The following is a 15,022-nucleotide window of genomic DNA, read 5'->3' on the forward strand; positions in this document are numbered from 1 at the left end:
TGCACTCCAGCCTGGGCAACAGAGCAAGACTCGGTCTCAAAAAAAAAAAAAAAAAAAAAAAGACTTCAAATGAAGAAATGGGCACTGTAGGCTGAAGTGGTCAGAAAAAGCTTTGTTGCTTAGTCAGAACTTGGATGAGACTTTAATGAACATTCTAGAATTTAGTTGATTGGCAATGAGTTAGGAGAGGTTTCAGTTCCATCAGGGTAACCTGTGTGGGAAAAGTATAAAGTGAGAATGGCCTAGCCCTGCGCAATAGAATTCTCACCCACTACCCGAAACTTGAGTGGAAATATTGTGTGTATGTATGTTGGCAGAGGGGCAGGAAATAAGTTCAGCAAGAAAAGCTGGAGTCATGTTTTGAATGCCTGAATTAAGAATTAAGAGTTTTTACTTTATATGTTGGTCAATTGAGAACGATTGAAGATATTTAAGAAGGATAGGACCAAAATAAAAACTTTGCTTCAGCACAATTAATTTCTCCTGTAGGCTAGGTAGATAAGACGAAAAGATGATTAAGGCAGAAACCTATTTATGAAGAGGATGAAAGACCTTATGAAGGATCTTAGCTAGAGTGGTATACAAAGGCATGGCAGGTCTGAATGAGCATGAGAGTCATCACCACAGAGCACCACTGGGGACTCAGCAGCTGTCCTCAGATACCATGCAATCCCCATCAGTATTGCAGTTTATCTTATATCATATGTCCATCACAGAATTGTCATATGTAAAAAGAAATATGTTAACAAGAAGACGTAAACCCCTGATAGCCTGTGTGTACTCCACTGTCACTGTGATTTTAGAGACTCTTTGATGTCCCATGATTTTACAGGAGGCAGAACTCTGCAGATCCTCAATGCACAGGAGGACAATGCTGGAAGATACTCTTGTGTAGCCACGAATGAGGCTGGAGAAATGATAAAGCACTATGAAGTGAAGGTGTACAGTAAGTTCTGAAAGAATACTATGTTTCATAGCTTCCCCAATTTTTCTAACTTTTTCAATCCTGTTTTTCATTATGGGTTCATAATTATTTATACTCACCATTAAAGACTTGTTTGTGCAGCTTACTTTATTAAGGATGGAAGTTGAATTAAGCATTGTGTCTATGGCCTCAATTGCTTCAAGATGTGAAGAGCCTACTAAATCTGCTCATTACTCTCTGTTGGAGACTTTGTCAGTGGCATTTCCTTAAGTTTCTCTGTTTTTCCTTCTGAATTACCCTCTGGGTTGAGATGTAGTACTTTCATGTACAAAACTGTCGTTAGATGCATATGTTCTAATCAACAGCCCAAGATGAGGTCATTAGTGACTTTGAGCTATTCCAATGTACATTGACCTATAAATAAAAAGCAAAGCTAACACTGCCATTAATGGGACTCATATTTCAGAATTTTGCTTTTGTGTTTGTAAAGGAAGAGTATCTTTCTGATTATCTTTTGTTCTTTGACTTGGTACCCTTAATGACCAATAAGATACATTTTAAGGATCATGTTCAGACTATGTCTGTGGACCTGGAACAAATGAAGCTAACTGTTCTGTAAAGGACATTAGCTTTATTGGCAGTATCACATGATAAAGGGAGAAAGAGATTTCCTGTTCCATCTTGTATTTGAACACTCTTTCATAAGATGTTAACTTAGATACTTAATGAAAGGTCAGCATAGAATGCCTCTGTTATTTCCTTGTTTTCTTGATAAGTAATCCTCAGTGTGATTTCTGTGGTATTCCATGTATTGAAAATAACCAATGTCTAACTCTTTAATATTTATTTTATGCAGTTCCACCCATAATCAATAAAGGGGACCTTTGGGGGCCAGGTCTTTCCCCTAAAGAAGTGAAGATCAAAGTAAACAACACTCTGACCTTGGAATGTGAAGCGTATGCAATTCCTTCTGCCTCCCTCAGCTGGTACAAGGATGGACAGGCCAGTCACAACTTTTTTCATTTGCTGATGATTTCTTAAAGACTAAAATGGTCAATTGAAAAGAAATAATAAAATAGACACAAGTGACTCAGAGAATCAATGTGATCTTAAAACTAGCAAATGCCATGCTCCTAGAATCTAAAACTTAAAAAAAAAACCCAACCAACCTGAAGGATGTTCAACAATTTTAGCATTATTCCATCACTGGAAAGTTTGCATAATTATTTTGTAATTGTATTTGTATATTAGCAGTTAATTAATATACAATTGTAATTGTATATTAGCAGTTGTCTATGAAAATCTGGCCACCCTCCCACTGGAGAAGTTAGGGAAACAGTTCTTTTCATTTTTTTGCTGTTGTTATTTTGCAGTTTTACAGAATAAGTAAACCAGGTAAAGAAGCAACACATAAATGTTGCTATCCCGGGTTAGAATGACAGGTATAACATGGGTACTAAATTTACTAAAGTTACTCAGATATTCTTTAAGTATCTTTAACTCTTTTACAAAAGGTAATGTTTTAAAATATTCCAAGATGAAGACAAAAAGCTAAAAAAGATGATGAAGGGCCCAGTACAGTTAACTGGGAACAGAGAAACTTTAAATAAAAGACAGATCCTTCAATTCTGTGATCTGATTTTCAGACCACATATCCATATTTCTCATTCAACTTATGTTCTTCCATGCATGTTTTAAAAGACATATGTGCTGTTGATCTTAGACCAAAATAGATTTTTAAGCAGCTGTTAACACCGTACTTAATACAGATGTGAAACGGCTAAGCTGCTGTTTGTCCTGTTTTACACATAATCAACCAAATAGTCAGTCAAATTCCAGTTGTAGAAGTTCAGATCATAATCATGATTTAAGATGCAGGAAAGATATAGCTTTATTTTTTCAGATTTCAGATGGATTTTGCAATATTGGCAGCTAGAAAAAAAGTCATCTTATAAAATAAGCAAGTTTCATCTGGAAGCCATTGCAAAAGGGAAAATATAGAATTCCCACCATGCTCCGTTTATAGTTTCTTTTCTGACTACAAGCACACTTCATAGTACAATATCAATTCTTTATGAGTTTACTTGGAAACAAATAATCCCTTTCTCCTTTGAAATATTTTAATCTTTTCTAAAGTTGTTTCATTCCTTATAGTTACCACATATGCTCACATGTACATGAACACATACACACATTAAAAACTGGGTAAAGACTAAAAGTGCACAGGAAATGAGGCATTTTTGTCTTATTTTTGAAAATTTCATTATAAGTTGTTAAATTGCAGCTTCAGGTTCAGGCTTTGAAATTGACCCAATTATGATGCTTTACACTGCTAGGTGTTTTAGGGTTTGCAATTGGTCTCCTAGAATGTGAACAAAAACGTACTATTTTAAAATTTATTTTCCATATTCATTCTCCTGTTATTTCAGTCTTCAGATGAGCAATACTAAAGTGAAGTAGTGTTTTCAAGAAAAGAAACACAAAACATATTGACAGACATTAAAAACTGGACAAAGTATTGGCCACAATAAGTTTTGATAGAATCTTGAGTTTTATTTATTCATACCCTGAAGTTTTTCTTTTAGCAAAAAAATTTAAATTATGCTACTTTTATATAAGTGATACAATGTTAATAATGATTAATTGCATTCTGAATTATTTGTTGAACATCTACTATTTGTCAGACACTGTTTTAAATGCAGGGAATACAGCTGTGAAAGAAACAGACACAAATTTCTACTCATGTGAAGTTTAGGAAGGCAAAACTAAACCAAACCAATAAGACATAATGTGTCAGGTGGGGCAGGTATCATGGAGAAAACTCAATATGAGAGAAGGAAACCAAGGGTGGAGAGTGTGATTTCTTACTTAGGGAAGACCTCACTGATAAGGTGACATTTAAACAGAAACCCAAAATGAAGGAAGCAGACATAAAATAATAGAGGGCAAAATATTCCAAAGTAAAGAGCACAGCAAGGGCAAAGGCCCTGAGGCATTTGGGCTGAAGTGCAGTGACAGATGGGAACAGAAAATGTGAGCAGAAGACTAATGGAGAGCCAGACCATGATGCCCCTTGTGCCAGTTGGCCTTTATTCTGACGGAAAGCCGACTGGGAAATTTTGAACACAAGAATGACATGACACAATCTGACTTAAGGTTTTAAGCAGATTGCATTTCTTTCTGTACTTGGAGAATAAAGAAAAGGTCCAGCTATGAAGTTATTGCAATGGTTATGGCAATTGCATCTCCACCAAAAGGGCAATGGTTGTTGCTTGGACCAAGGTGGTAGCAGGAGGTGTGGGATGTGTAGGAAGGAGATCAAATATAGGTTCAAGATAAGTGAGAGTAAATAGAGAAGAGGTCTAAGGATTAAGCCTCAGGGTACTCCTGTATTTAAAGTTGGGGAGCAGGGAGCGTAGTGTCCCAAAAGATAAGTGAAAAAGGTACTTCAAAATGAACACAAGTTAAACTCTGTTAAATGATACTGATCAGGTAAAATAAGTACTTAGAAGTTACCAGCATGAATGTCATTGGTGACCTTGGCAAAGAATTTTTGATCAAGAAGAAACAGTGAAAGTCTGATTGGAACATATCAAGAAATGATGGAAGGAAAAAACTGAAGGAAAGTAATTGGAGTCCACAAGTATAGAAAATATTTTTAAGTCATTTGGCAACAAATGTAGAAATGTAGAGGTGGGCTGCAGCAAGAGAGGTTTTTGTTTTTGTTTTTTTAGGCTGAAATCATCCAGTGGAAAGAAATAAGTTAATGATGATGTAGGTGAGAGAAACACAGTTGCTGGAGGGATGCCCTTGACCAGCAAATTCTCAGAATGAGCAGAAACTGATTTTAACCAGTTAGGGTTTTGCCAGGGGAGTAAAATAAAGGGAGAGGAGGCAAAAGAGTTGAGAGTTTTATACAAGGAACAATTATCATGACAGATCTTCTCTGGGTAAGAAGGGAATAGAAGTCAGGAGGAGACTGAGTGGCAGTGAAAATATTGCAAGGTCAATGGATTGTGGGGCTCCCATGGGATGAAAAAAAAAAAACTTAAAGAAAATTAGTAATAATAGAAAACTAGGAAGTGATAGTCACCAAATGAGAGCTTGAAACTGAGATTATGAAGGAGCATAGTTATTGGTAATTATAAGGTCTAGGTATGACTCCTATTTAGTGGGTGAGAAAGGGTGAGGGACAAGAAAATTAAAAGAAGGAGATCAAGGAGCTAAGAGAACACAGCATTGGATGATTATCTTTGTGGGCATTGAAATCACCAAGAGTTATGAGAAGAGTATCATTAGAAGGAATGATAGTGAGCCCGGAGCTAAAATTTTCAATGAATGAGGGGGAATTTAGTATAAATGAAAATGTTGAGAAGATGGGAGATGTTCTATTAGCTATAGGCAATGTTACTGATAAAACACCATAATACGAATATATGTAAGTTAATATCCTATTTTATAGTAATAATTTCAATAAAACATAATATAAATATCTTTAGGTTAAAATTTTTTATTTATAAAGTAATGATGTTTCTGAATGAACAAAAGTAATTTAGATCAAATCAGATTATACTAATGTGCTCAATCTTTCATAAAGAAATTCTAACATTTTCTACAAAATTATAAAAGACTGCTTTTTAAATATTATATGAGATCAGTGAAAAAAATTTTTCCAACATGAATAAATTAATATGATAACTAAGAACATATATTTATCATAAAAATGTATAAATGCATCATGCACAAATGCCTCGTAAAAATGTAAACTGTAACAGCAGCAATTTCAATAAATAAAAATTTGATTAGTCAAAAACAATGAGTTTAATCAAAGTAAATCAATTATTTTGATTAAACTATTGTCATGAATGTTTTGCATACAATTTTATTTTCATTTATTTAAAAAATCACAAAAACTATCAACTGCATGGCCTCTTAGAGGATTCATTATAGCACTTAATGCTAACATTGTTATAATTGAATCACAGCCCCTTAAATCCGATGATCATGTTAATATTGCTGCGAATGGACACACACTTCAAATAAAGGAGGCTCAAATATCAGACACCGGACGATATACTTGTGTAGCATCTAACATTGCAGGTGAAGATGAGTTGGATTTTGATGTGAATATTCAAGGTAATACTAATTGCTTATTGTATATAATGTAATTTATATGATCTTTCAAAGTAAAAGAAAAGAGATTTGACTTATTTTAAACAGTGTTTTTTTCTGTTGACAATAATATAAATTCATGATTGAAAATTTAGACTCGAGAATTAAAGAAGGAAATAATCCCATCATTCAGGATTGCCTCTGTTATTTTTATGTGTTTCCTTCTGATATTTTAAAGTGTATACTTCTACAAAGTTGAGGTCACACAATATAGATTTCTCTGTTGCATTAGCATTCCCTTAACTTTATATCATGAAGTTTTAAAAGCAGCATTTACATGAAAGGCAGGAAAGTAGTACAGTACAGAATTCAGAGTAATAAAAAATTACCTGTCCACTACTGGGCATATTATCTGGGTGATGAAATAATGTGTACACCAAACCCCCAAAACATGCAATTTACTCATGTAACAAACCAGCACATGTACCCCATAAACATAAAATGAAAGTTGGAATAAATAAATAAATAAATGTAAAAATAAAAACAAGCAAACAACATAACAAAACAGACTTGGAATTGAATGATGATTATGGCTTTTAAAAGCTTTGTGACTTAGTAAAGTTACCTAAATTTTAAGATTGTTTCCTCATTTGTAACATGACTGTCTTGTAGAATTGCAGTGAATACTAAATGAGATAAAGTATATAAAGCTCCTAGCAAAATGATTGAGAAATGATACCTGCCATTATTGTTGTTTATATTGTTACTCTTGATGTTGCTAACTATTCGACATGATTTTTAATAATTATGTCTGTTTCACCAGTTGAATATCCAAAAAATATTTATTTAACCAGACTTCTATTGTTGAATGTCTGGGTTGTTTCTAAGCTTTCACCACTCATAAATAATGCTACACTGAACATCTTTATACATAAAACTTTTGTACATCTTTGATTTTTCATAATTTTCTAAGGGTGGAAATTTTAGGTTAAATGTACTTTTTTCTGTGATAAATTTTATGTTATGCACTCTTTTAATGCTTTTGATGTGCAGGCAAATTGCCTTTCATAAAGTTCATACTTGTCCCCAGAAAAGTATGAAAATGTCCTATTATTTTTGTTAATGGAATTTTTAATCCTGATTGCATAATTTCTTTAGCCTTCTTAGTAAGCCAAATCACTGTGAAATGCTCTCAATTGAACCAGTATTTTTTAATGGTTTCTCAAAATTAGTCTTTCCTGCTGTGTATCATTTAGCAATGCTCCTTCCTGAGAGTGAGCCCCTTTATTGTCTAAGTGCCAGAGCCCTTTAACGGGGAGAGCAAAGCATAAACACAGCATTCTGAGCCTCATACTTCTTGTTCTTCCACTTGACAACCAGCTCCGACTTTCGTGTACTACTTTTTTGGCTAAGGGCTAGAGTTGGTGGTGGCGTCAGTACTTGAAATTATTTCCACATTGTCTAATCTATTGCTTTTACAAATCACTCTGGTGAAAACACAGCCAAGATCTTTGTTTAAGCATTTATATGTGACCAACATTTAATGCCTTTCCTCCATAGTTCCTCCAAGTTTTCAGAAACTCTGGGAAATAGGAAACATGCTAGATACTGGCAGGAATGGTGAAGCCAAAGATGTGATCATCAACAATCCCATTTCTCTTTACTGTGAGACAAATGCTGCTCCCCCTCCTACACTGACATGGTACAAAGATGGCCACCCTCTGACCTCAAGTGATAAAGTATTGATTTTGCCAGGTAAAGATTGATACCAACAGGGTGAAAAGCTGACTCTCTGCCAAATGTGTTTCCTCTCATGTATTAGACGAATTGAATTGGTTGGGTCTCTGGCTAAGTAATTTAACTGGCAGTTAGACTGCTGAATGCCACTGGCATCCACGTAGCTTCAATCTAGAAGAGTCTTGCTTGAGAATTAGACAATAGGAGAAAATAGCTTAGTAAACTTTTCAGATCTACTACGCATCACTCTATCAACTCAAAGTCCTTTGGCTTCCTTGTGCCTCCATTTCTCTTTTAGTGCAATAAGATAATCAGTTTGGTTTATATATATTATTAACATAAATGCTAATATATATTTACAGATCATTACTGCTCAGTTTATTAAATGCACTTATCATAAATAAATAGGGAAGATTATTAGTTTCAAATATTTAAATTGTTATCTGGTTTATTGATTGCAAAGATGTTTAAACTGTTATGGAATAATATTTTCAAGGCTTCTATTTAATTTTAACAAGCATTCAGATATACAGGGCTTATCAAAATTCATCAGATTGTACACTTAAGGTCAGTGCAGTAAGTAATTGAATGTAAATTTGACCCCAATTAAATAAAAGAGTATCCTGAAAATAAAAATGAAAAGAGACTAAGTAGATAGGGTAACTCTGTCTAATATGTGATCCTAAATTAGATCTGGGTTTGGGGAAAATGGCTATAAAAAACATTATTGCAACAATAATGAAATTTGATTATGGACTGCGGATTCAATAGTAGTTTTGTTTTGATTTTAAATTTTCTGTTTTTAATCATTGTAACACGGTTATATAAGGGATTATCCTTGTTATGAAATATGGATTTATGAGTATTTTAGGGGTGAAAGGGCACCATGTCTCCAACTTACTCTTCAATGGTTCAGAAAAAGATTATATACATATGACAGAGAGAGATAAGGCAAATGGAGTGAAATATAAATAATTAGTGAACATGAGTAAAAGTCTTTATATAATTATTGCAACTTTTCTCTAAATTTGAAATTATATCTACATGATGTTTAAAAATATACAGCTATCCTCATAAGAATGTATGTAAAATAGTACACTTTATACTTTTACAACCTTGGATATTGCTTTCTCAAACAAGTACTTGCAGCAAATGGTGTAAACTTCTATTAAAAGTGTTCAAAACTATAAAAGCAAGGAGTCACTATATAGTAACATTCCCTAGGAAATATGATGAAGCACATAGAGTAGCAGTCCCCCTTCTAGGAAAATCTACATGAGCTATTCATTTCTCAGGAGTTCCGATTCATATGTTGGCTCACTTTTTAATAATGCAGTGTTTGTTGTAAAAGTGGTATCTGAGATTAAAACTGAACCATTGGATGAAACAGGAACCTTGAAAGAAAATGTAAGGCAGTCATTAGACCTGAAAATTTGTATCTGTTTATGGCTTGTGTTCACTCTAAGATTAGAGGAGTAAACATAGTGGGATATTATTTTCAGGAGGGCGAGTGTTGCAGATTCCTCGGGCTAAAGTAGAAGATGCTGGGAGATACACATGTGTGGCTGTGAATGAGGCTGGAGAAGATTCCCTTCAATATGATGTCCGTGTACTCGGTGAGTTTTTCTTTTGTTTATTGTTCATTCTTTTACTGAAAAGTATTTTTGAGGAACTAATGTTTGCAGGATGTTACACTAAGCGCTTTTGAGACTATAAAGATAACCAGAAACTGATAGTTCTCCCAAGGAGGTAATTATCTTCTACAAATTGACAGCACATTAGTCAGGACTCTTGAAGTATTAAGAAACAAACTGACTTAAATGAAAACAAACAAACAAAAAGAATTCATTGACTTATGAATCAGAAAAGTCCCAAAATAGAGCTGGCTACAGTCATGTCTGACTTCTGTGGTTCAAATGAGGTCAACCAGACTTTACCTCTCTCGACTCTGCTTTTCTTTATTAATGTCACTCTCAGGGAGGGGGATCCCCTTGGATAGCAAGGTGGCCTCTAGCAGCTCTAGGCTTGCATCCTCCTAGTTCCACATTCAAATGAAAGTTTTTTCTCCTAGTATTTACAATTGAAGCCCTAGAATTGAATTTCCGTGGTTTTAATTGGCCAAGTGTGAATCACGTATCCATCCAGAGCCAATCACAGACAGCAAGAGGTTGCAATGTTCTAATTGATAAGGTCTAGTTCATGTGTCCAACCTTGAACCAAATCACCATCTGAATGCATGAACAGAGAGTTGAAGAAGTATTTTTCCTGTAAGGGAAAAGATAAGTGACATAACAATTAACATAGATTTTAAAGTTCATGAGAGAGTTACAAGGAAAAGAGATGAGATGACAATTAAAAAATCAATGCTGACATTGTCAAGGACAGTGAAGGAATATCTTGGACCACCTGGCTTAACTTGACCTTGTCAGGTTCACAGCTACGCCATATGTCCTGCCTAGGATCAGGTTCGATCCCCAGCTCTAGTTGTGTTTAGCAGCTCTCTCATCAGCAGCTCTCTCATCAGCAGCTCTCTCATCAGCAGCTCTCTCACACTAGCTCTCTTACACTGTCCCCCTTTATCTTGGCTTTTTGCTCTGCCTCTGTGGCTCCTCTCAGCAGCCGGCTCCCGTGCATAGCTCTATGGCTGGCCTGCAAGGCCAGCTCTCTCTTGCAGTGTTAGCAGCTTAACTCTTTCTCTCTGGGGACGAGCTGGTTCCTGCCTGCCTTAAAGGAGCCTGGCTCTCCCTTACAGTGGTCAGTAGTATTACTCTCTCTCTCTGGGCACACGCAAGCCATGTCAAGCCATGCTATGCCATGCCAAACTGAGCCCCGTGCACAGTGTCGCAGAGCAGTTATACCTTCTACAGACAATAGTGGCTCAGAGCCAAGTATGAACTTACACAAACAGGTTATATAACAAGTAGAGTTGTGTGCCTGCGCATCAATCCCACTGAGTCATGCAGGCCTGGATGTCTGCCTCTGCCTATTCCTTGACCAAACACATCCATGTACCTTACAGGCCTAAATTTGGAAAGAGTTTAATTTAGGGTGAGTAGAAGGAGTTGATAATATAGGTAGGGAAAGATTGCGATTCAGTGAAATTGAAATGAAACTATGGGATTGGATGGTCAAGGGTAGATGTTCATGCCTCAGGCTGTTATTTTCAATTAGGAAGTCAGCAAGCAAGTTGGAGATGAGTTTAGAAGGTGGAACAAAGCAAGAAAATTAACTGGTCCCCAAATTCTGAGTTAGGGCTGTTTCAAGTCTGCTGCTCACCTCCCAGGTGCAGGGAGGGCCACTGAGAACAATTCTGAGTGGTGTAACCCACTAGTAGGGTGTGGCAGCTGGAGCAGGTGGAAGCAAAGAGCTGAGGTGGGGGCCTCTGCATGTCAGTGCCTGAATCTCCTAGCCCTCCTAATGCTTCAGCTCTTGATTGGTTTTCTTGATGTTGGGTGGTGATAGTCTCATTTAATCTAAAACTCAAGTTTATTATTTAGTAATCTGCAGTTCAAATTATACATTTTATATTATCTGAAGTATAATAAAATCAATCACGTAGCTTTGAATGTGAAAGTACGCATTCAAAATAACATTGAAATTCTATTGTGTGCTTTGTGGCATTGAGTATTTTCTTTACAAACTTTCAGTTTAGTTGTTGGAAACCCAGATACCACAAGATAGCATCTACATCAACTTGCAGTCTTCACTGATTGCTAAAGATAAGGTATATTTTTAAAGTGGGGGGGAAATAAGCTTTCAAAACAAAAATGATTATTTTAAAAATCAATTTCTACATTTACCAAAGCAGTCAACATGTGTTCCTAGTTCATTTAACATTTTCATTTTTAAAATTCTATGGGTAACGTGATTTTTCATAACTAATGTGTAGCTGGATTCTATAGTATTGTTTTCAACAAGAATGAACACATGTAGAAAAATCTAGAGTGGGACTTCTCAAACTTTAGCATACATAAAGATCACCTGAAGAGCTTGTTAAGACACAGATTTATTGGCCCCTTCTCAGAGATGCCTATTGAAGTTAGTTGGGGCCCAAGAATTTGCATTTTTAACCAAGCTCGCAGATGATGCTGATGCTGATACCACTGGTGCTGAGGCTGGGAAACACACTTTGAATCACCCAGGCAATTCCTTTCCAAATAAGGCCAAATCTGAACATTTCAATTACACTTTAAAAGGTGTAATTTTTCTGTCCCCTCTGGATGACCATATAGACTTAAATATCTATTTATACAGATGCTTCTTATATGTCTGCTTGAAAACTCAGAAGGTATAGTGGGAGGGGCTGAGAGAGAAGTAAAAGATATATTGGAGAAGAATTGAGATTGGGCTAAAGGGGAATGATACTATCTGAGGGATTAGTCTAGCATAAGTGAAGAGAGGGAAGAGAATAAAGCCAAATTCAAATACTGTTTTCACCACCCCAATTTATTAGTATAAAATGTTACCTGGGGATCATATAGTTTCTCCTTCAAGTTTTGCTTCTCTATTATTATCCCAAAGTTTTTAAAGCTGTCAGAAAATTAGCATGATTTAGAAAAGACTGTTGCCCATTTTTCTCCCTTTGTTGCAATCCTTTGTTAGTGCCGCCAATTATCAAGGGAGCAAATAGTGATCTCCCTGAAGAGGTCACCGTGCTGGTGAACAAGAGTGCACTGATAGAGTGTTTATCCAGTGGCAGCCCAGCACCAAGGAATTCCTGGCAGAAAGATGGACAGCCCTTGCTAGAAGATGACCATCATAAATTTCTATCTAATGGACGAATTCTGCAGGTAAAAGTAAAGAAAGATCTAATTTTAAAAGAGCTATTTGACTTTGCACTTTGTAATAATTGTTTTTGACTTTTAAAAATAATTTTTATTAGCTTGTAAATATTATATTTGTAAAAATAACCAACCATCAAAGGTATATATAATAAAATTCTTCTTCCTCATTCTATTCCCACTACCAGAGGTTACCACTGTTAATAGTTTTGTGTGGATTTTTCCAGAAATGTTCTACACACACCTCAATTGACTACAATATGGCCTTTCTGATAAAAATTGTATTATAAACAAATCATTATTGCAGTCCTTTCCATTATATATTTCTGTTGGTAAAATTCTAAATGGTAGGAAGTTCCCTATATATTTAAATTTGTATGTAGGCAAAAGGTTGATAATAATAAAAATTATGAAAATCACATACATATCCTGGATTGTTGTTTACCAATGGTGTGTCCATATTCTTCTTTTCACATGTCCTGAAAGAAAAGCACTTGTAGAAATAATACCAATTCTTTTGTTAGGATACAATTTGATAAATTACTTCTTGAGCAAAATAAATAATATTCTATTGGCTCAAGAATCCAAGCATAACCTTCAGTGTATCCAACATAGGACATATCTCATGGAATTCCTTATTCAAAAGAGAAAGAGGTTTATTACTTATAAATAACCTTAAATTTTCAAAGTATCTTCTAAATATTGTGACTATTTCTATGTGATAATCATATAACCTCTACCAAAATACTTCAATGGTTCTGTGTCCAAGTCCAAAAGATATATAGTTGGATAGAAATTTCTATGTAATAAAATGAAGAAAACATAATTGTTATATTAGCTGCATAAAACAAACCACTCCAAAACTTAATGACTTGAAACAGTAAGCATTTATTTAGCTCACAAGCCTGCTGGTTTGCTAGATGATTCTTCCGGATGTGGCCTTGGCTGGGATCGCACACATATCTGGGGCCTAAGTTGCAATAAACTGTGATGATTCCTCCCCAAGTGATCTCTACCCTCCAGCAGGCTAATCCTGGCTTCCTCACATGGTGCTGGCAGAGTTCCAAAAGAGTGAGCACGAGTGAACAGGCTTCAGTTTTGAAATGACAGTCACTTCCGTCACGCTCTGTTGACCAAAGCCAGTCACAAGACCAACACAAATTCTACTTCCTGATGGGAGGGGTGTCAAAGTCACAATGCCAGAGGCAGAGAGAGAGAAATGGGAGAATAATTTGGGACATTTTTTTTCTAGTCAACATACCACAAATATGTATAGAATTACCTCTCCTGATTAAAAATCTTAGTAAATATTTATTTGATTTACCTAATAAAAGCTAGCATCAGCACTAGTATGTACAACATTTTTTTCTATCTGGTATTAAATAGAAATAATATATATTATTTATTCTAAAAAATAGACAAATATGACAAGTTGCTTTATTCAAAATTTTATTTGGAATTTCTTCATTTTTCCCTTAGATTCTGAATACTCAAATAACAGATATCGGCAGGTATGTGTGTGTTGCTGAGAACACAGCTGGGAGTGCCAAAAAATATTTTAACCTCAATGTTCATGGTAAGAGCTCAGTTCCAAAACCATCTGTTAGGGTATGCTTGGAAAAGCAGAAAATTTCTGTTTTAGATTATGTAGGCTTATTTTGTATTTTTTAACTTAAACAATGTGAGGAGCCTATACTCATTCAATCCCCTCTCTTCTTTCTTTCCACGATGGCTAGTAGGATTTATAAAGCATAAAACTTCCAGGAACACAGTTTTTATATTACTTCAGTGTCTCAAGAGAAAATAACTACTCCTGCATATTTGAAAGGAAAATCAGAATTTAAAATATTAATGATTACAAGTTTATGAAGTTAGAAGCAAATACAGGTCTCCTACTCATAAAAATCTATCCACTAGTCATGATTGGAATTGGTTTCTGTCCTTAAGTGCAGAATTCATGTTGAGCTATGTCCTCTAGTAACTAATATACTCCCTGGAGAAGAAAAAGTCACTTTGTGGAGTTAAATAATTCCTTTAAAACCACCAGCACACCTAATTCATTCATCAAACTCTTTTAAATACATGCTAGACACTCCATAAATACCACTTTTTGCTAAAAAAAAAAAAAAAAAAGTAGTTGAATATCTACTGCAAAAGAGTAGTTTTATTTTGTGAGATGCTGGTGCCTCCAGAATATTAACTTGGAAATGGTGGATAATCATTATAAAAGATCTCCTTTACATACATAATACACACATAAAATTCTAGCTCATTTTGGAAGTAACTGAAATTTGAAATGTCATGAAAAATTTCTGCCTTCTAAAGGACTTTTATGTAGTATGATAAATATTCTTCTTTGGTGTGATATGTAGTGAGTATTGGTATCTAGCAGTATTTGGTGTTTGTGTAATAGATATTTAAAACACTTTTATCTTTTTAATTCCCGTTCTTAGCACAGTGAGTAACA

The 15,022-nt window shown here is 35.1% G+C and overlaps 1 protein-coding gene across 6 annotated transcripts in view; it reads left to right on the forward strand.

The window, feature by feature from the left end:
- Positions 1-15,022, forward strand: part of HMCN1 (hemicentin 1) — a 456,559-nt gene that overhangs the window by 334,440 nt on the left and 107,097 nt on the right. For all 6 annotated transcript variants that reach the window (NM_031935.3, XM_011510038.4, XM_024450118.2 and 3 more), the window contains 7 exons: positions 833-946; positions 1,782-1,927; positions 5,911-6,061; positions 7,598-7,792; positions 9,277-9,390; positions 12,377-12,564; positions 14,035-14,131. In NM_031935.3, coding sequence (NP_114141.2) covers positions 833-946; positions 1,782-1,927; positions 5,911-6,061; positions 7,598-7,792; positions 9,277-9,390; positions 12,377-12,564; positions 14,035-14,131 — 1,005 coding nt within the window. The remainder of the gene's footprint in view (positions 1-832; positions 947-1,781; positions 1,928-5,910; positions 6,062-7,597; positions 7,793-9,276; positions 9,391-12,376; positions 12,565-14,034; positions 14,132-15,022) is intronic.

The sequence above is a fragment of the Homo sapiens genome, chromosome 1 (assembly GCF_000001405.40).
Source record: "Homo sapiens chromosome 1, GRCh38.p14 Primary Assembly".
Classification (NCBI taxonomy): Eukaryota; Metazoa; Chordata; class Mammalia; order Primates; family Hominidae; genus Homo; species Homo sapiens.